Below are 23,342 nucleotides of genomic sequence, written 5' to 3' on the forward strand. Positions count from 1 at the left end.
GAATATAATTACATTTATCAGAATGGGGTATGGGCAAAAAATGGTTTATAAGCACCAGTTTAGAATATACAGCCTTCATGCTCTCTTCCAGTTAACTTTTACTTTTAAAAAAATCCAAAAACTGGTTAAAAAGTCAGCTCTAATAAGTTTACTACACATGAACCTGCAATATGCCAATCTGTTCCTCTACTTTGGGCCGTACGTAGCATTTACTCAGGAAAGTATGCAGCTTATCTTCAATTAATCTGCATTTACTGATTGTTTTAAAAAATGTTTTCCAGTGTCTGGTTACGACCCTCAACTATAATGATCCTGGTTTGTCCAAACTAAATCCACCTTTGAGGCAGAATCCTGAAAGATAAGACACAGCCAAATGGAAACTCTTTCAATATTTTAATATCTCATTTAATTTTTAAAAATTAAAACTACAAAGTATTTCAAACACAGTAGAGAATGTGCACATGCATGCATCAATGTCCACATTTACAAGATGCTAACCTTTTGGCATGTTTGCTTCTGATCTTGGACTTAATCTATTTAACAGCATATAGAAATAGTATTCTATGAAACAAAACCACAGTTTGTTCATGTCTCTACTGATAGACAATATGTTATAACAAAGTTTCACTATTTCAGATGGTGCTGTAATGGAAATCCTTTATTTGTGACTCTTGTGGCCTTGTGTGAGAGTTTTTTCCTAAGGTATGTAACTTAAAAGTACAAGTGTCTGGTAACAAAGAATGTATATAGTCAACCTTATTGGATATTTTCAAATTGCTCTCTAAAACTTATACCAATTTATGTTCCTAATAGCAATACTACAGTTTATTTCTCCAGATTCTTGTTAAAACTTAAGTTTTAAAGTTTAGCTAATCTTATGGGTATGAAAAAGTATCTAATTGTTTTATACTTCTCTGATTGATGATGAGACTGAATCTTTTCATATTATTTATCATTTGAGTTTAACAGAGTAGCTCTAAAATTTTAATATGCACCAGATTCACTTAGTGAGCTTGTTAAAACAAAGAGTGCATGACCCCACTTCCAGAGTTTCTGATTCAGTAGGTCTCAAGTGGGGACCTGAAAATCTGGACTTCTAACAAGCACCTAGGAGATGCTGCTAATGCTGGTCAGAGGATTACACTTGGAGAACCACAATGTTCAAGGAACTGCCCGTTCATTTCTTTTACTCATCTAAATATGCGGATATTTATCAGGCAGTCTGGATACTAATCCTCTAGTGGTTGAAAGTGCTGCTAATATCTTCTCCTAGTTGTAGCCTGTCTATTCACTTTGTTTTTGAAGTCTTGTGATATCGAAGTTTGTCATTTCCAGGCAGTCAAATCTATCAATCTTTTCATTCATAATCTGAGCTTTTGGTCTTTTGTTTTTGAAATTTTCCCCTATTTCAGTGTCATAAAGATAGTATCCTATATTTTCTTTTTAAAGTTTAAAAATTTTGTTTTTCATGTGTGGGCCTTTAATTCCTCTGGAATTTATTTTTCTGTAAGATATAAAGTAGGGACCTAACTAAAAATTGTCCCAGTATCACTTACTGAGTATTTCACACTTTCTCTACTGATTTTTTGTGCTACATCTATATCATGGGATTCTTTATTACAGATGAAAAAGAATGCCACTTTTATGTTCAGCATATGAAAACGTCTTTCTCTGAGTTGGTATTCAATTTAGGAAAAAAACCTAACAATTTTTATTTTTGAGACGGAGTCTTGCTCTCTTGCCCAGGCTGGAGTGCAGTGGCACAATCTTGGCTCACTGCAACCTCCACCTCCCAGGTTCAAGCATTCTCCTGCCTCAGCCTCCTGAGTAGCTGGGATTATAGGCGTGTGCCACCACGCCCAGTTAATTTTTGTATTTTTAGTAGAGATGGGGTTTCACCATGTTGGTCGGGCTGGTCTTGAACTCCTGACCTCAATGATCTGCCCGCCTCGGCCTCCCAAATTTCTGGGATTACAGGCGTGAGCCACTGCGCCCGGCCTAACAATTTATCCTTAAGATGGTCATACAGCAAAATGTATGATTCACTGACTCTTCTAGAACTTATGTCATAGAGACTTCTCATATAAGAATATCACCCAGTAACTGATTAGCAGAGTAATAAAAGTAGCTTTGATGAAGCTTTTATAAATCTGAGGTTAATAAGCAAGTCTCCTACTGACAAATTAATAATAAAGAATAACCCATATTACATAAGACCTATAATAAGGATATGACATATATATAAAATAGATGAATGAAGCAGCTGTTACTTGAAATTGATGTCTATATCAAGCAGTAAGCTATAGTGGGTAAGGTATAGGATATAGAATTAGAAGACCCAGATCTGAGTTCCAGATTTGCCACTCATTAGCTTTGTAATATTAGGCAAGCTTTTTAAGCTGAGTATCAATTTCAAAATATAAAACACAGCGACAAAATGCTCATAATTTTTGTGATATAAAACTTATGATAGGTAGTGTTATGTAAATGTTATTATTTTAAAAATATGTTATTGCTTAAAATCAGATCTTTGGCAGAAGAGTTTATAATTCAAATTCTATCAACAAGTATAGAAAATTTGATGTGGCAAAGTAAGGCATTTAAAACATTAAAGTAGAAAAAAATTTTTTTTTACAGAGATAGGGTCTCACTCTGTCACCCAGGCTGGAGGGCAGTGGTACAATCACAAATCACTGCAGCCTCACATATTTTTTTATGTAGCTGAAACATTTAAAATCTACTCTCATACCCTGGGCAATATGGCAAAATCCCTTCTTTACAAAAAATACAAAAATTAGCTGGTGTGGTGGTGCATACCTGTAGTCTCAGCTACTTGGGAGGCTAAAGTGGTACAATTGCTTGAGCCCACAGAGGTCAAAGCTGCAGTGAGCCAGGATTGTGCCACTACAGCCTGGGTAACAGAGCAAGACCCTGTCTCAACAAAACAAAACAACCCACCCCCAAAACCCAAAAAACAACTCTTTTCACAATTCTGAAATATACAACACATTATTGTTATAATAGACACCATTCTGTGCAATAGGGCACTACAGCTTATTCTTCCTATCTAACGAAAACTGTGTACCCTTTGATCAACATCTCCCCTTCCCATATCCCTCCCTGCCACCTCCCAGTCTCTGGTAAGCATCATTTTACTCTCTATGTATGTGAGTTCAACCTTTCTCGATTCCATATATAAGTGAGATCATGCATTATTTGTCTTTCTGTGCCTGGCTTATTTCACTTAGTATAATGCCTTCTAGGTTAGTCCATGTTGTTGTAAATAACAGAAGTTCCCCCCTTTTAAGGCTGAATACTACTTCATTGTGTATGTATAATTACATTTTCTTTATTCATTCATCTGATGATGGACACGTAGGTCGCTTCTGTATCTTAGGTACTGTGAATAAGGCTTCAACGAACTTAGGAGTAGGTAAGGCATCTTTAAGAAATTCAGGACGTATTTCGCCTGGTAATCTCCACTAACTTGGTTGGAATACCACAAGAGCAAGAGTCCTCCAGATTTTATAGGTGACCATCAGACTTGGTCACTCATCATTGAAGATTATGTTACACAAGTACTGGCTTCCCTTAGGGTGAGTGCAGAAAAGGGCAGATACTATTTTTTCCTAAGCTATCGACATATAATTGAAGTTAGTAAATATTTCTGACAACAGCTGTGCTACTAGAGAGAAAGAAATAATCAATCTAAGCAGAATAGTTCAGAAATAACTTTCTCCAGGTTCGTCTGGGAACAAAATGGGTAACTTTTCATTTCTCTTCTGTCATAAAGAAATACCTGAAACAATATTCTATATTGCAAATACTAATTTTTCGGTGTTCCTGTTTGCTCCGGACATCTGTTTCTGAACTGTCAATACATACCAGATGGACTACAGAGAACCAGAGAGAGTTTTAAATGTCTTATTACCAGAACTTAAAGACCTTTAAGCAGATGGTAAGGAACTATGTTTTCATTATTTATTGGCATAATATTCAATTTAAAAGTAGCCTAAATGGAGAGATCTGCTCCTGTTTTTAGGGACCACTGTGAAAAAGTGAAGCATCAGGTTTAAGCCACAACTTCACAAATGTTAATGAAAAGTGATTTCCCTTGTTTGAAATCTGTAGTGATTTGTTTCCTGTAACGACAATCTTCCCTCTCATGTTATTCTGTTTGGTTTTGTTTTTTTAAGCAAGGTTAAAAAAGTGGGGAAGGGCTGATGCTTATAAAGAGCATAACAATTAGTACTTCACTGAGGAGCTTTCTTGCAAATCCTTGATGGTGAAATTATATCTGAGGATCATTATTTCCAGAATTAGCAGAAATGCTTGTTTGAGACTTATAAACACCTTCCAAAGTACTGGCCAGGTTGACAATAAATGAGTTCTGGTGGAAGATGATCAATCAGGGTATCATGTCCATAATTAGTCCATGAAACTTTTCTTTTCAGATTGGTATCAGTAAAAAGTTTTTTTTTTTTTTTAAGTTTTAACTTTGTGTTTGGAATAGTCAGCTTAAATTCCAGAAACCTAAATAATCAAGTTTAACTGTTTCTTCAGTTGAGTTACCATATATGGAGGGAACATAAATACACTAATAATTATGCTTGAATTTGTCTGCCCTTGATTTAAGCTTCAAAAACAAAACTCCAAAAAGAAATACTAATTTTTCCCCCCTCAAGCGACACTGATTCAGGAGCAGTTTCTAAAAGGACTCTTCTTCACCAGATCACTAACAGAAGGATCAAAAAGGAGAAAGTATAAGGATCAAAAGGGAGAAAATATAAAGCTTATTCTGTTGCCTCTTTAAATTTATGGAAACAATCAACATACCTGATATTATATTCTCTCAGGCCCCAGCAGTTCTTCCACAGGATTGAGTAAGGAAGATAGAGAAAAAGGTCAGGTATGAGGACTCTATTTTCCATGCTTGTTGCTTAGAATTCTTAATTTTCAGCAATTTTCAGTTTCCTAACTTGTTATGAGGACCACTGGGGGTGGCAGGGATAAGTGATTTTCTTTTAAGGGCTACCTACTATAAACAATGTAAGAGGAAATTGTTTTTCTATTCTCAGTTCTAGGGGGAGAGCAATTTTTACTGTACTGTATTATCGTGAGGATTTGCCCTTTTATTTATAAACCTATTGAATTAGGTATATAAATGAAAATGGCTTAATTTTCTGTTCAAAATATTCTGCTCAAAGATAAGGAGTATGATCTGAGTCAATTTGAAAGACATCAGTACTTAGAGAACAGTTAAGGAAAAGTGATGCAATGCTGACAAGCAAATTTCAGCAAAACCCAAAACCTGTTTCTCACAATGCTTCTCTTCCTAATCCTGCTGGATGACCTAGAGAATTTACTGCAACCTAAAAACAAGCTAAACAATAAAAAAATTCCCTTTGAACTTCCCTCAACTATAATCAAGCCTGGAGAAATTCCAATATTAAGAAGCCCCAAGGGGCTGCAACATTAGCACTGACAAATTCTTACTCCAAGATAGACATGTAAGATATTACTAAGTAGATTCTGTGCTTAATATTGAGAAGTTTCTGCACATAAAACTAAGAAATGATTATATTACATTATAAAAGAAAAAAGTAGGGACATTCATTGGTAATTTTTATGAATGTGCTCTAAAATATATTTCGGTTTTCTTAGCTATTTATATTTGCCTGTTTAATACTTTAAAGAAACTGAGTTCATAAATTGATGATAAATCAAAAGATAAATCCGGAAAGAAACACAACTACAATGAATTTTTTAGAACTTAATAGTAAAAAAGGAAGCTGAATCTCTGAAACTGAGATAATGAATAACACGGTAGAAAGTACCGTAGTATCATAGTATCTTTGGCTTCATAAGTGCCAAAGTAAGAACCAAATGAAATGCTTAGACAAGGGCATACTGCTAAAACACTCATATAGTAGGAACTATGGTTCAAATAGCCAAAGGGTACCAAAGCCAAAATATTTCAGTCCCCTTGAAATAGAATTCAAATGAGAGCCATCTTAAGAACACATCTTCCCATTGTTAAATTCTACAAAAACTGACCATCATAGGATCATCATGTAACATTCCCCTAAATTCACTCTGAATCACTCAGGAGAAGCCAAGGTTATTATCAATGTTTCTGTGTGCTATTTGAAAAGATCACACAGTTCTACTAGCAGGTGGGGATGGGTGGTGGTATCAGCAAGAAGGATAAGGTTTAGATCTTTCTAGTCACTGTGTTTTTAACTTTTTTCAGCATGTAAAAAAATGATGGTACTTGACAGTCCAGCTGCCACAATGCTTTCAAAAAACTGGATTTCTACTGGATTCTTCAAGATTACAAAGTTACAGCCTTAACAAACAGGTAGGCCATTGAGAGGAAAAGTCAATTCTTTAGTCTCTGTTTTCTCTGTTCCTAGTAACCTTTCCTTCTTTTCTCCCCTAGAGTTTACTTTTCTGCAAGTTTGAAATGACTTAAAGTGCAAAGATAGAAAAATTAGAATACTGTAAGAATTCATTTGTTTCCATCAGAGCACACTTTTGTGTATTATGTCATTCTTTGAATATAAACATATTAATGAAAATTGCATTTCTTTCTGGTAATGATGAGAAATTCCCATCATATTTTTGAGACAATGTAATAAATTTGAAAGCTAGCTGACAATGGTTAGAGCATTGTTTATAATCATGAAACACAAAAGTTACCAGAACTTATTTTTTTGGGGCTCAGTGGCAATTTAGTCCACTCGAGTCCCTAACAGGAGAGAAAAAAAAAACATTAATAACCATGTTTTTCTCACATACTAAAGGAGGATACAATAACTCAAGTGTTTAATGTAAAAAAAGGAAAGAGTAAAAGGTTCACAATCCTTTAAATGGCATGGCCTTATATAAATTATTTCTTTTTGTGATACTAAACAAAACCAAACAAGCTATTTAAATCTGGCCCCACTGCCAAGTTTTCTCATTCAAGTAAATTCTGCACAGACATGCTCTTCATTTTGAAAAGTGCCTATTTCTTCTCCACTAAGTGAATAGAAAGAAAAAATAAGATTCTGAGATAAATCTTACTAACAGTAACTCCAGTGCCGTATCACAAAATAAATGTGATCTTCTACCCATGAGCCTTTTTCGAGCAGTAACAGGTGAATTTTTGTTATTTATTTATTTGATATATTTTAATTAGATAATGCAAACAAAATTTTAGTTTCAATCAAGTCTGTGTCGGTGAGTTGACCTTGGTCACCATTTAGTATTCATTAAAGCAAGGATTTGAGGTGAGAAAGCATGCTTTCTCTTGTAAAGGGAAGAAGATAATTTTTTGGAATTGCATACTCCACACATCCATAACCCCTCACAGATGCAGCATATATCTCTGGAGGGCAGGAAAGTAATTGTTAAGAATTACTACTGGAGTGAACTACTCAAATTTATTGCTGGGAGTGTGTCACCTCTTAGAAGGCCCCATTCTAATAGTAGGTCTGTTTCTCAGGAACACTTTAGCAGTAAGTAAATGAAGAAGACTGGCTTCTGATTTAAAACACTAAACCATGGGACAGACTTGGAAAGTTTAAAAATTAAACAACATTATTCATTTATATATTCATCTAGCATCAAGTGCCTACTATGCTCTAGGCACTATCTTATATTTTAGTAACAGGAAGACATACAATAAAATTTAAAAGTAAAACATATGTTACATGATGATGATAAACGCTATGAAGAAAAAGTGTTGGGAGGGTATGTTAAACCACAATTTAAAATAGAGTAATCAAGGATGGTCTCACAGGAAAGTGAGAAGGCAACATGTTTTACACAGTGGCTGATCTATAGCAGAGACTCAAAACAGTTATCATTATTCTTTGTTATATACTATTTTTGCTTTCTATTGGCTGGCCGTTGTAATGGCAGCTAAAGCAGGAACTGACAGTAAAGACTCCATATTACTAAGAAATAAAAACAGAGGCTTTCTTCCCATTATCTATCCTCATATGTACCATTATGGGTCCCCAACCCTGTAAAGAATAGCTCTTATAATAACCTTGCCCCCAAATAATCTAACACAAAAGCCACAAACTCAAACGCCAGGCACGTAATGCACATGAGTACAGTAGAACATAGGTAAGAAAAATCTGATGAGGTAAAAGCATGGTGGGGACTAAGAGGATTAAAGAGTGCATGTCATGTTTAAAAGGAATAACCACTACTTAGGTTCAACTGCTGTCATGCGCAAACAAGGGTTCAGTGTCCTGTTTTCAAGAGAAAAGAGAAAACAAATACCTAAGTTTTTCTGTGAACTTTCCTCTTTCTAAAATATGGCAACCAATCCAAAAATTTTAGAACATCAGTGTGGGCCAAACAAAACAATTTTGTGGAAGAGATCTAGCTGTGGGTCTCAAGTTTAGCCCTTCTGGTCCATCTACAGGGTCAGTAGCTGATTCCTTCCAGGGCCATAAGCACCAGATGCTTGATTTGCTGGACCACACCTGTTTGTTATTACCATCCAGACTATATCTGAGCAATCATATGTTTTAATATCCAAGATCTGTGAAACATACAGCACTTAGATATGGAGCAAGCCATACCAATAAGATTCCATTAAGCCAAGATGGAGATGAGACTAGGAAGGTTATACCCAGGGAAATAATATCTATTGCAGTGTCCCAGATAGGATCCTGGTGAGAACTCAGGTACTACTGAAATTCCACACAGATAACCATGATACATGAACAGACTTCCTACCAACAGACTGCTTGCACTGCCTTCCTTTGCCTGATTTTAACTATGCTAAAATTGGATTTTTCACATGGGGTAGTTAGTACCTCTGCCGCGATTTTTTTTCTTTTTTAGGTTTTAGATTTTTGTAATGGACAACTCATGTGTGCCCAGAAAGTTGGTTCTTAAGGTTTATCTCATAATAGGCTTTGCTGTTCACTAAAGTAGGACAGTTTTTAGAGAACACAGCTTAGGCTGTTAATTTTGATCATTTGCCTCAGGAGTACAAACACTGTGCCAGTAGAGTTGGAAGGTAGAAAGAAAAAGTCTTTTAAAGCAATGGTCCCCAAGCTTTTCAGTACCAGGGACCAGTTTCACAGAAGACAATTTTTCCATGGATGGGGTGGGGATTATGGGGATGGTTTTGGGACGTAACTGTTCCACTTAGACCATTAGGCATTAGTTAGATTTTCATAAGGCACGTATAACCTAGATCCCTCACATGCTCAGGTCACAATAGGGTTTGTGCTCCTATAAGAATCTAATGCCGCTGCTGATCTGACAGGAGGCGGAGCTCAGGCAGTAATGCTTGCTCGCCTGCTGCTCACTTACTGCTGTGTGGCCCGGTTCCTGACAGGCCATGAACCATACCTGGGGAACCCCTGTTTTAAAGGATTACATAATCAGTGTTTAAAACTTAAAATATACCAACTACAAGTTTTTTACTATATTCCCCTGCAAGAGGACATCACTAAGACTTCTCCCCTGGAAGGAACCTGACTCACTACACAATTATCTAAATGATGGCATCTGTTACCTAGTTTCAGGAAGTGACAATACCCTTAATCCTCCAGAAGCAACAGGTATTCTGGTAACCCCACATCATTTTTCAAATTTTCTCTCCTAATGACAGTCCTAGAAAATCCTCCTTTGGTCAGTTCTCATGAATAAACCCTACCCTAGTAGAGCTGACTTAATTCAGAAAGCCATATACGTACCAATGAGAAGGAACTCATTAGACACGTTCCATTTTTGACCAGGTGAGTTTACTTGGCCTTCCAGGTGCTGAGCATAGCATGGCCTGTAAAGCAGATGCTTTACTAGGGTATGCTAAGTTACCAAAAATATAGGCTACCTGCATTTTTTAAACCTAGAAATAGCTGGCAAAACATAAAAATGCTTTCTTAGAACACTGGCTGGTTAGAAAGCCTAGAAAATAAGATGGTACACTCTTCCTGGAAGGTATGTAATACAGACTTAAATGAACTTAAAATACTCAGCCTCTTTTATCCCTGGTTTTAAGCCTTTGATCTCTGCAGCCAGGTGATAGGACAGGGTCTCATTCTGTCACCCAGGCTGGAGTGCAGTGGCACGTTCATGGCTCACTGCAGCCTTTGACCTCCTGGGCTCAAGAGATATTCCCACCTCAGCCTCCCAAGCAGCTGAGAATACATGTTCATGCCATCATGCCCAGCTGATTTTTTATTTTTTGTAGAGATGGGATCTCCCTATATTGCTCAGGCTAGTCTCAAATTCCTGGGCTCAAGGGATTCTCCTGCCTCGGAAAGTGTTGGGATTACAGGCATGAGCCACGGCAACCAGCCTAGGTTGTCTACTCTTCTAAAATCTTACTAGGATTGCGTTGAATTACTGAATCCATGAGATAGAAATACTTCTCTCTTGTTTTCAGCTGAATTCCTGGCAAGCTAAATGTTATTTAATTTTACATTAGCCTTGCTAAAGGGAACCAAAATATATAGCCCTCTTAACCTTTATTTTTTCTAATAACTCCAAAGCAAAACTAGTCAATTTAGGGGACCCAAACATTAGAATTAGTTGGGAGACTGCTTCCTGTTGGTATACACACCTGAAGGCAGTAATATAAACAGGAAGTTCTCAACATCCTGTTACTTATGAATAATATGTAAAAAGTAATTTCTCTTTCTATGCTAGAAACTTGCCCTATAGACCTTACTATTTCATAAATATTGTGTTTCATAACACCAGTTTCATGAGAAGTTGTATGAGGAAAAGGGTGAAGAGGAATTCAGAGCAAAAAAATTTTGGAACATACTGCACAAATAAGGTTGATGACATGTAGCAGCTGATAAAGCATTTAAGACATCTTTTAATTGATTTCATAAACATACTTGACTATGGAACTTTTTTTTTTGGTTTAAAGAGATGGGGTCTTGCTCTGTCACCCAGACTGTACTGTGGCGGCACAATTGTAGCTCCTGCAGTCTGGAACTCCTGAGCTCAAGTAATCCACCCAGCCTGAGTAGCTGGGGCGACAGCTACCATGCCTGGTTACGGAACCTTTTGCATAACATATTCCTATTTTATGGAATTACTATTCCAAGGAGCATATTTTGGGAAACACTGGATTACTATTTCCCATCCTCCTTTGGTTGACTCTCAGCAGACTAGGCCTTTTGTACACCACATGTTAAGAATTCTTTCTCATGGGAGGCTGAGGCAGGAGGATCACTTGAGGCCAGGAGTTGATTCAAGACCAGCCTTGGCAACATAATGAAACCTCATCCATACAAAAAAACAAAATTTTTTTTGCCGGGTTTGGTGGTGTGCACCTATAGTCCCAGCTTCTCAGGAGGCTGAGGCAGAAGGATCACTTGAGTTGAGCTCAGGAATTTGAGGCTGCAGTGAGCTATGATCATGGCACTGCACTCCAAACTGGGTGACAGAGTGAGACGATGTCTCAAGGAAAAAAAAAGTTATTTCTCTTACATTTTAGTCCCTAACTATACCTCTCCGATAGACCAACGTAACTGAAGTAAAATAAGGGGACTCGGTAATATAGACTGAGAAACTTACACTCAGCTGGGTTTAGCTAATAATGCTCTGGTGTTGGATATATCAAGGGTAAAATATTACCCTCACTAGTAAACTAATTATGAAAAATGTAACTGGATCAGCTTTACAAGTGTATTATGACATTATACATCTAAAAATGTTACAACTCAAATAAGAAATTTAGTTTAAGATATGCTGCTTATTGTTAAAAATTACATTTTCACTGCAAAAGCACTAAAACATTAACAAAAAAATCTATTCATATTTATGCTACTACAAATATTTTCATTTGTCTTTACCAATAAACAGATAAATTTTTTCATAGCTTTAAAACTAGAAAAGTACTTTATATTTTTTACTTCTAGTAGATTTCATATTGTCTTCATAATTGGAATCAACTTAAATATCTAACATTATTGTAGCTATTTCACTTTAGTGAGCACACTGTAAGTTTTTAAAATGGCATTCAGACAACCTGCTTATAAAAACAGACTGTGTTTACAATTATTGGTTACCAAAATTCAGTAAGATGAGTCCAGTTTTTAATTTTTCATTTCAGATTACTTTCTATTTGGAAAAATAAGGAACATTTTCTTGATTATAAGCTCATACTTCAGAAAATCTGTAAAGCATGATATAGCATAGTTTTTTAAAAGTCTGGGATCTGAAGTCAGATTATCTGAATTAAATGTCTAACTCTACCAATAAGTAAGTTTTAAAACCTTAGGTAAATTACTTAAACTTGTCTGAGTCTGTTTCTTCATCTGCAAAATGACAATGATGACACATTAACCTCACAGGCAAATTATGAGGACTGAATGATAAAACATGTGAAGCCTTTGTCTGCCTCATAGTAATTAATAAATACTAACAATAACAATAAAAAACAAAGAAACTTTGTTTAGGGGATATTATGTGCATATTTACTTACTTTTTGATAATCACTGTTTGTAAATAACGATCCAGTAAATATTTACTGAGTGTCTTCCATGAAAAGACAGTGTTAAAGTACTAGGGATATAGAGACATAAGTCCCAGCCCTTACTTCCAAAACTTATTTCTGGAGAAGAAAACAAATTAAGCTGGCGATAGCATAGTACATGGTAATAGCTTTGATAGGGATATACACAGAGTACAAGAAAGTTGGGGCCCTTAACACTGGACAGCATGACTAATATGTTGTCTCATGACACATATGTTGCTAACCACCACATTCTTTTTCTTCCTCTGGTTTAGACTAGAAAACAAAAGATGTCCTAGTTCCACTTGCAGGTAGGGGTAGCCATGTTGACATTACTCTGGAGGTTGAAGTTCCTAAAGTGGTTTTCCTGAATATAAGGAGGTGTCCTGAATAAAAAGATGGCTTCCCTAGAAGAAAGCCCGTTTGCCCTTCTTCCCTTTTTCCTGCCTTAGTCTTTGGACTAAAGGCATAGTGGTACAGCAGCCCATCAGTGATGTGACACAACAAAAGATAACATAGCAAATAAAAAAGAGACTAGGACTCTGGTGGCATTGCAGTTATTGCAATACTCTTGAATGCCTAACTTTGGACTCTTTATTTGGTGACACAAATTCTTACTACTTTAAGCCACCAGTTGTTTCATTCTATAGTTAGGATTTTCTATTATCTGCAGATAAATGCATAGTCCTAGTAGATAAAGATTTCCGAAAATGGTAACTTCTGAGCTAGTGCAACAAAAGGAGTAGAACTTAGGCAAGTGAAGAAACTCAAGAAGAGCACTGCTGGTAAAGTGAATAGCACCTACAAAGGCCTGGAGAGGGAGGGAGCATGAAGTGTTCTACAGTAAGCACCTTCCAGTTTCTTGGATGGCTTTAGCCAGGTGATTCCAAACTTTCTCCATCTTCCACCTGCTTATGTTTAAGAACTTCAATACTCTGCCCTCAGTAATTCCATATGGTGAGCATTTATTTTTAAACAGTAAGTTCTGTGATGATGAACATAAAATGCAATCCTTGACTAATGTTTAGACTTAGAAACATATATTTATGGAAATTAAGTCACTTTGATCCACATTATGAATTTACACATATAACACCTTCAACTAAAGCTGCCATGTGTGCTTATGTGCTATGCACTTTATTTACACTAATTATCTCATTTAATATATATGACAACTCAGTGGAATAGGTACTATTATCCTTCTTTATACCCACCTAAGTTAGGTTAGAATTATGGGAATTCAGAAAAGAATGGCAGGACAAGAATTCAAACTCAGTTCTGTTTCATTCTATAGCCTCTGCTCTGAGCCACTCTGCTATAATGCTAGTCAGTTCTTTTTTTTTTTTTTTTTTTTTTTTAGTTTCTAGTCTCTTTGTCCCACTTCACCTGCTCAAATCCTTCCTGCATTTATGCAATAAAGTTTTAGTTCCCCACGAGCACTCTGGGGATGAGAGTGGGGTGGATTGGTTATCTTTTAACAGGTGAGTATGGAAGGAAGGGGCATACTAAACTAAGTAGAGCAGGAGCAAAGGGAAGAATGGCAGAAACAGAAAAAAAAAAAAGTTCTTCCCTTCTAAAGGAATGAGTTATCTTTACTTATTGGCAAACCAGGAGTAACTCCCAAAAATATTTCCAAATATTTTATAAGTGTATGATCTCTAAAAGGTATAAATTTAAGGTGGCAACACTTCTATTTTAAACCGCAGTATGTTTAATGATTGATTCATTAGTTTATATTCGTTCATACATTCAACAAATATTGATCACGTTCATGTGCCTCTGGGTATATTCCAATGCATATGTTCCTATACTCAAGAAGCCAAGACCAAATAAAAATGCCAATTATAACTACCATAAAGGTTATTGTATCACACAAATAAGGTAAGGATATAATGGAACAGAAAATATAAAATTCAGACCTGAGAAATCATAGAAGGCTTTCCAGAGGGGTTGATATCTAAGACGAATCCTAAACTATAAGTACGTGTTACGAACAAAGAAGGAACAGTCTAGAATAGAGTTTCTTAACCTCAGCACTCTGACCTTTTGGGCTAAGTCTGTTATGGGGGCGGGGGACATCCTGTTTTGGAGGATGCTGAAACAGCATCCTTGGCCTCTTCCCATCTGATACCAGTAGAACTCACCAAGTGTGAAAACCCAAAATGTCTCCATATATTGTCAAATGTCCCCTAGGGGCGTGGAGGGCAAATATTGCCTCTGGTTGAGAAGCACTGTTCGAGATCTCTGTTGTCTAAATCATTACCACTAGCCACATGTGGCTATTTAACTTCAAATTCATTAAAATTAAACAAAATTAAAAGTTCAATTCCTCAGTCACACTAACCACATTTCAAGTATTCGGTAGCCACACATGGCTACTGATTACCATATTGAATAGTGCATATATGATATAAAACATTTCTACCACCACAGAAAGTTCCATGGATAATGCTCTTACAGATTGAGGGAGTAAATATTGTCTTCTATTCCACAGTTTGCTGATAGGCTGTGGGGAGAGTGGAGAAAGATGAGGTTGGACAAAAAAGGTAAGGTCTGAGTATGAAGAATCTTCCACACCATAAGGCAGAACAATGGGGAGCCAATGAAAGGTTTTAAGCAAAGGTGTGAAATAAACAGAACTTTATAAAGACGACTATGATGATAGTGTGGAGAACGAATGTGGAAAGACTAGAAGCAGAAAAAGAGTTGCAGTATCTCAAATAATTATGATCTGGATTAATGCAGTAGCAGTAGGAATACACAAAAATAGAGCAACCAAGGAGTCAGAACTGATAGGATCTGGTGACTGACTAGTTGTAAAGCAGGCTGAGGAAGAGTCAAGACTGACCTCTAGGTTTTTAGGTTACATGAGTGAGTACCATTCACTAAGATAGTATGATAGGATAATGACCCCAGAAATGTTCATGTCTTAATCTTTGAACCCCTGGAAATTTGCATGGCATGGGACCAAATCAAGGACCTTAAGATGGGGAGATTATCTTGGCTTCCCTGAGTAGGATCAATGTATACTCAGGTATCCTGATAAAAGCGAGGCTGAAAGAGATTTGACTACAAAAAAGAGCCCTGTCAGAATGATGCAATGTAAAAAGGCTCAAGCAGCCATTAATGGCTTTGAAGATGCAGCTACTGGAAGCTAAAAAAGGCAAGGAAACATATTCTTCCCTAGGGTCTCCAGAAAAAAAACAAAACAAAACAAAACAAAAAACCCATGGCACTGCTAACAACTTAGTTTTATCCCCGTGAAACCCATGTCAGACTGCTGGCACACAGAAGTCTAAAATAATCAATTTGTGTTATTTTATGCAGCCTCTAAATGTATGTTAATTTGTTATAGCAGCAATAGGAGACTAATACAGATAGTTATAGAAGTGGGGGTATGATACAAGTTTGGCTCTGGAAAAGTTGAGTTTGAAGTACTTATGTGACATCCAGGTAAAACTGATCAGCTGATAAAGAGTTGGATTATATGGGCCTAGAGCTTAGGATGGGGACATATAATTAGGAGTCATTGGTATAATGAGACTAATTGAAACCATCAAAGTAGATGAGATTATTTTGGACAAATATAGACAAAATGCAAAGCAACAGACACCCTTGAAGGGTGTGAGAAGGAACGGCCTAAAATGTAACAGGAAAACCAGGATAGTGTGACATCTTAAGGAATTTTAAAAATGAGAATGTACCAAACTGGGGGGATGAGGGGGTAGTGTGTGTATGGAAATGGTCAACAGAGTGAACTGAAAAAAGGCTGTCATTTGGAAGTGATATTACCTATTATATTCAGCAGTGAGGGGTCATGGTATCCTTTATAAAAGTTTCAGAGGAGTGGTATTAAAGATTTTTGTTACTGGGGTTCAAAACTGAATGGAAGGTGAGGCATGAGACTAATTCAATCAACACTTTGACTAAACTTTGACTTTCTTCTTTCAAAGGGAAGAAGATACAGTGGTAGCTAGAGGAAAGGTTGTGGGTTTCAGGAAGGATTTCTTTTTTAAATATGGGGGTAAAATTAAGCATTTAACTATTCATGAGAATAGGCTAGTAAAAAATAAGAAAATAAAGAAGTAGGAGAAAGAGAATGAATCATAACATGAATTCTGAGATAGGAATGGATGAGACCTAGAGGGTAGGCAGAGAGAGATCAGCATTCAGACAGGCAGAAGGACAACTCTTCTGTTGAGAGATAAGGGAAAGAAGACAAGAACAGGTATAGAATTGAGCAAGTATTAAGTTAGGGACAAGAAATGTATTAATTTGGTGGAGTACCACAAGGCAACTTCCTATTTTCTCAGAGAAGTAGAAGGCAAGATCATTTACCGGCAGCAAGAAAAGAAGAGGCGAGTTTAGTAGCTTGAGCTAAAGAAGTCTGAAACAGGTTTAGTGGAGAATAGTGGAAAATAAATCACTAAAGAAAAAGAGGGTGTGAAGGGGCCTATATATTTTATTGAATCCTTAAAATAGCTGTTAATAGACTTCTGCATGTGGCCGCAGTGGAGTACCTGATACTGCAGCAACTCTCCCAGCACCACCATCTCAAAACATGAACAAAATATCAGAAACAAGTGTTTTCAGAAATTGGACAACAAAAAGCATAGACTGTTAGACCTGAAAAAGAAAAAAACAAATGAGACGATTCTATCTGAAGACAACTTGACTGTCGTGCAGAAAGAAGCAACTTAAGCAAAGCAAGGCAGTACTGCAGAGCTAAAGAGAAGGAGGTTAGTGTTCGAGGTGGCAAAGAATCATATGGAAGAAAAATAAACAGCTTCAAAATTTACACAAATCCCTATGTAGATTTGGAATTTGGAATCTATAGCTGAAAACTAAACTGTATATATGTAGATAAAAACTCCAAAAGGCTGGGCAAAGAGCTACCAGGGATCTACAAGTGGCTGACACATGTTCCAGTTCTGCTGAAACAAACTTCAATACACTTTAAAGGAAGAGAAGAACAAACTTCAATACACTTCAAAGGAAGAGAAGAAAACTCAAATGCTCAAAAACCATAAAAATCAGTGTTCAGCACTAAATTAAAAAGTATTACATATGCAAAGAAGCAGAAAATTATGACCTGTAATTGCAACGAAAATCAGTAAATAAAATGGACCACAGGCCGGACACAGTGGCTTACGCCTGTAATCCCAACAGTTTGGGAAGCCACGGCAAGTGGATCAGATGAGGTCAGGAGTTCGAGACCAGCCTGGCCAACATGGTGAAACCCTGTCTCTACTAAAACTACAAAAAATTAGCTGGGTGTAGTGGCGGATACCTGTAATCCCAGCTACTCTGGAGGCTACTCCGGAGGTTGAGGCAGGAGAATCGCTTGAACCCAGGCAGCAGAGGTTGCAGTGAGCTGTGGTTCTGAAATGCATTGCAGCCCGGACAACAAGAGTGAAACTCCATCTCAAAAAAAAGGGACCACAAAAATGATAGAGATAATACAATTAGCAATCAAGGAATTTAAGACAGGTATTTAAGACAGAAACAAAATGATAAGATGATAGAGAAAATGATAAACAAATGATAGAGATACTACAATTAGCAGTCAAGGAATTTAGGACAGGTATTTAAGACAGAAACAAAATGGAGGATATAAAAACTTCTATAAAAAAGTGGAATTTCGCTCACACCTGTAATCCCAGCACTTTGGGAGGCTGAGGTGGGTGCATCACCTGAGGTCACGAGTCCGAGACCAGTCTGGCCAACATGGTGAAACCCCGTCTCTACTAAAAATACAAAAATAAGCCGGGTATGGTGGTGAGCGCCTATAATCCCAGCTACTTGGGAGGCTGAGGCAGGAGAATCACTTGAATTCAAGAGGCGGAGGTTGCAGTGAGCTGAGATTGTGCCACTGCACTCCAGCCTGGGCAACAAAAGTGAAACTCTGTCTCAAAAAAAACCCAAAAAGTTGAATTTCTAGAACTGAAAAAAATATAAGATCTAGAAGAGAAAATTTATTAGATGGGATTTATAGCAGATTAGATAGTTCAGGGGAAAAGAATAAGAAAAGTGATAATAGAGAAACAAACTATTAGTAAGTATAGAAAAATTGTTGGATAAAAATCAGCATGTGGCTGGGCACGGTTGCTCATACCTGTAATCCCATCTCAAAGCACTTTGGGAGGCGAAGGTAGGCAGACCATGAGGTCAAGAGATCGAGACCATCCTGGACAACATGGTGAAACCCTGTCTCTACTAAAAATACAAAAATTAGTTGGACACGGCGGTGCATGCCTGTAGTCCCAGCTACTCGGGAGGCTGAGGAAGGAGAATCGCTTGAACCTGGGAGACAGAAGTTGCAGTGAGCCGAGATTGCACCACTGCACTAAAGCCTGGTTGATAGAGCCAGACTCCGTCTAAGAAAAATAAAAAAATCAGCAAGTAACTATGATTTTAAAAAAAAAACTCTTAGCAAAATAGAAACAGAAAGTAACATGTTTAACCTGATGAAGAGCGTCCATGAACAAGCTAATGTTAACTTCATATTGTATGGTGAATGAATCACTGTTTTTTCCTTAAGATCCGGAACAAGGCAAGGAAATTCACTCTCACATTTCTATTAGCCTATCTCCCAGAGGTCCTAGCAGTACAATAAGGTGAGAAAAAGAAATTGGCATATAAATTAACAAGAAATTAAAACTCTTTTTATTCGTAGATAATATGATTGAGTGGGTAGAAAATCCTAAAGACTACATAAAAGCTACTAGATTTAATAGGTGAATGTAGCAAGTTTGCAGGTTACAAGATCACTATAACTATTAGCAATAAAACAATGGATAACAAAAATTTTTAAATGCCATACTCAGTAGCATCTAAAAACTTTTAGTTTTAATAAAATGTGTACAAAACCTATACACAGAAAATAACAAAACACGCTGAAAGATATTATAGAAGAACCAACTGAAATGGAGATACACCAAGCTCATGAATTAAAATTTGTTAATAAGACATCAATTGTGTCCAAATTGATCTATAAATTTGATGTAATCCCAATAAAAATCCAAGTAGAACTTTTTTTAAAAATAAAAATTGACAAAGTAACTCTGAAATTTGTATGGAAATGCCAAAAAATATATGAACCATTTATATATCTGATATCAAGACTTTCTATAAAGCACAGTAAACAAGACAGTGTAGTGATGTCATAAAGGCAGACACAGCAATCAATGGAAAATAAGAGCCTAGAAAAACACCCACATATAATGATTTTTGATATAGGAAGTGACTGGGGAGAGGCAGACTTTTCAATAAATGGTACTGGACAACTGGATATCCATCCATATTGTAAAAAATAAACCTTGAAGTTCAACTTAAAGCAAACACAAATTTAACACAAAATGGTTCAAACATCTAAAAGAAAAACACTACAACTATAAAACTTCTAGAAGAAAACCTAATAAAATCTTTATGAGAAGATTGAGATATCTGGAAAAGGAAGTAAAGAGGCTGGCCAATCCTCCCTACAAACAAGTATAAAATGACACAAAATGGTCAGAAACTAGGCTCTGGAAACTAACTACAGGCAAACAACATATTGGGAAGTGTTTAGTCATTAGTGACTACTGAACTTTAGGTAGTAGTAACTATGAGAGTCTATTATTCTTGCTTATGGCTGCTGCCATGACCTATCCCACATGGTTAAAATAGTAGTGTTGCTAGGATGAGGCAGCCTGTGTTTAAACACGCAAAGAAAAACACAATGACAAAGAATCAGACAACAGGAAATCTTAATAGAGAAACTAGAGCACAAATAAAGATAATCAGAGAAAAAAGTAAATAGAGCTTCAGAGAGAAGAGAATAATAACATCAATCATTTCAACATACGTGAAATGGGCATTTTAGAAGGGGAGGAGAGAATCAAGGGACTGAAAAAGTATTTGGAAAGATAATGGCTGAAAACATCCCAAACCTAACTAATCTATGTGAGCTCAACAAAGCCCAAGTAGGACAAACATGAAGTGATCCACTATATACGTAGTCAAACTGTTAAAAGTCAGAGAGACAGGAGAAGTGAATGAGTGACAGAATCAATCTAGGATAAATCTTAATACCAACAAAAGAAAACTTACGTACAGGCAGACATTAATATAATTAATGGCTGATGTCCAAAATGTAATGGATTAACATATTCAAAACAATGAAAGAAAAAACAAGCAAACAAAACTGTAAACCAGACATTCTATTTCCAGCAAAACCATCTTTTAAAGCAGAAGGCAAAATAAAGACATTCATAGATAAACACAGACTGAGAAAATTCATTACACACAAACCTGTGGTATAATAAATACTAGAAGAACTGCTTTAGACTGAAAGGAATCATCCTTGATTCCTCTGTTTCCCCTCCACATTGAATCTATCAGCAAGCAAGGCCTACTAGTTTTATATCCAAAAATGCCTTAAATCCATCTACTTACAAAAAAAAATCTTCCATTGCCATCATCTGAGCAAGAGCCTTGAATTATCTACTGAACTTCTGCAATAGCCTAACTAATTTTCCTGCTTTTACTCATATCCCCCTACAATCCACTGTTCCAACAACAGCCAGGGTATTAAAAAAAAAAAAACAGATTGCACTATTCTCTGCATAAAATCCTCTCATCAGCTTTCATGCACTTAGGATACTACTTGCCATGACTAAATATGTAATACATGAACTACTTCCTGCTTGAACTTTTCTATCATTCTCTACTTCCTTCCGTAAGTTCCAGCATACTGGGATCCTGTATTCTTCAAATACCGCAAACTCATTCCCAGCTTCAGATTTTTTGTACCTACTGTTCCTTCTACCTCATGTGTGTCACCAGGAGATCATGACTCAAGCTGGCTTCTTATTACTCAGGTCGGCACTCAAATGTCATCTCCTCAGAGAAGATTCTCAGAGAAGCTTTTCCTGGCCACCCTATCTAAGGTTACCCTACCCACCATCACTTGCCTCCCTTTCCCTTTTAAAAATTGTGGAGTATCATTTATCGTTATCTGAATTGTAATGCTTAATTATTTAGTCACTTGTTTAATGTCTACCTCACCCAATAAAATAAAAGGATCATGAGAGGAGAGATCTTAGTATCTTGTTCATCACTGTATGTCCAGGACCTAACACAATATTTTTTAATTACTGAGTAAAAATTTACATATATTCTAAAACTTAGACTAAAATGTAAACATTTCTGAACTCTTAAAAGACTTTAAAAAGAACTTTGTTCTTATTTAGTATTTTATAAGTGTCATATTTTATAATTTATACCAGTCTTCTACCTCTTCTTAATGAAGAGAAAAAAGTGAGTGATCCTCCAAAGTTATCTCAAGTATTGCAAAGAGAGTGGGTGGCCATATATAGACAAGAACTGTGTCTGTCTTGCTTACCACTGTACTCTCGTACCAAGAACAGGGTCTAGTATATGATAAACATGAAATAATTACAGAATGACACATTAACAATGAGACTCTTAAGAGTTGGAAGACAGAGGAAATGCTCTGGGGGTTGGTGGCAATGTATTACTCCCTCCACTCCCAGTCACCACTTTTCTAGGTCTTAAGAGTAGTCTTGAATATATCTCTCTATAACAGACTAAATTTCTTAAGGGCATGGAATATGTCTTTTCTGTTTTGTATTCCTTATGAGTAAAACTGGCAGACAGAAGATGTCCAATAATTTTAATAATTTTTTGAATGAAATGCAAGAGCATTGGTGTCTTCATTTGTAAAAGGGAGGTAACAAGATTACCTACTTCAGAGGATTATTATAAGACAAAAAAAAAAACTCGAAAACCAAAAAACTACACACACACACACACACACACACACACACACACACACACACACAACAAAAAGAAGAGTAAATGAAAGGAAAAAGAAAAACACCTCCACAAAGTCCTCTTTTAGCTAGCTATTAGGTTAGAAAAGTGTAAGAGAACTGATTAAATTTCCTCTTCTCCTATAAACTATTCCTATGTATTCAGCTACCTATAGAATAATAAGCTAATAATAATATAAGCTAATAAGACATCATACTATTTCAGCACCAGACACTGTAACAGACCACCACCACCACCAACAACAACATAGTCAGGTTAGCTTATAAGCAAGACCCAAACTTGGATAAGAGAACTTCCCAAGTCACAAGTGGGGAAAGAGAACTAACTATACTGACAATTTGGGGAATCTAACAGTATAGAGCCTTCGTGTGTTCTAAAGCCTAGAGGCTATCCTTTTGGTAGAGATTTTATGAAAGAAATCAGCAGTATTCCAGATGTCCCAGTAGCTGCAATGCTCCTTCCCTCACACGTTTAAAAGAAGACCTATGAAACTACTACTATACTAACACAATCTAAATTTAAACTATTATTGTGGCTTTAAATCTTGAAAGCTGGCAACCCCACAAAAACTAATCCACTAAGCATCTTAAAAGCTGTTTTTGAAAACAAATTTTTACAATTCTATTAAGTAGAATCTAAACTTAAACTATTATTATGGCTTAATTCCTACAGGCTGCCAACCAAAACATGAAAAACACACTATCTCAACAAAACTAACCCATTAAACATCTTCAAAAACTTTTCTCTAAACAAATTCTCAGAGTTATTAGAATAGAAAAATAAATATCCAATTTAATTGTTCGTTTAAGCAGTCTTTCAGTAAGAGCCAGTTAAGATTCAAAAACATGTAATTACCTCAGATTGTGATTTTATTATTGATGAGATACAGGTAAGTATCTAGGTAGCTTATAAACAATTCACCCGAGGGGGCTGTAATTAAAATATCAAATTTTATTCACTGGAGTTAGATTATATTTAAAATCAATATTTACTTGAAAACTGTATATTTTATATCGTC

General features: G+C 36.3%; 1 protein-coding gene and 1 long non-coding RNA gene across 10 annotated transcripts in view; one reads left to right on the forward strand and one right to left on the reverse strand.

The window, feature by feature from the left end:
* LOC124903498 (uncharacterized) overlaps positions 1-6,655 on the forward strand; it is a 13,130-nt gene extending 6,475 nt beyond the window's left edge. The window contains exon 2 of the long non-coding RNA XR_007064648.1: positions 637-6,655. This is a non-coding gene — a long non-coding RNA (uncharacterized LOC124903498). The remainder of the gene's footprint in view (positions 1-636) is intronic.
* RFX7 (regulatory factor X7) overlaps positions 1-23,342 on the reverse strand; it is a 157,803-nt gene that overhangs the window by 68,600 nt on the left and 65,861 nt on the right. Inside the window, exon 3 of one of the 9 annotated variants that reach the window (XM_047432950.1) lies at positions 4,837-23,254. The exons of the other annotated variants lie outside the window; for them this stretch is intronic. The gene's annotated coding sequence lies outside the window, so the exon portion shown is untranslated. The remainder of the gene's footprint in view (positions 1-4,836; positions 23,255-23,342) is intronic. 9 annotated transcript variants of the gene reach the window in all.

The sequence above is a fragment of the Homo sapiens genome, chromosome 15, assembly GCF_000001405.40.
Source record: "Homo sapiens chromosome 15, GRCh38.p14 Primary Assembly".
Classification (NCBI taxonomy): Eukaryota; Metazoa; Chordata; class Mammalia; order Primates; family Hominidae; genus Homo; species Homo sapiens.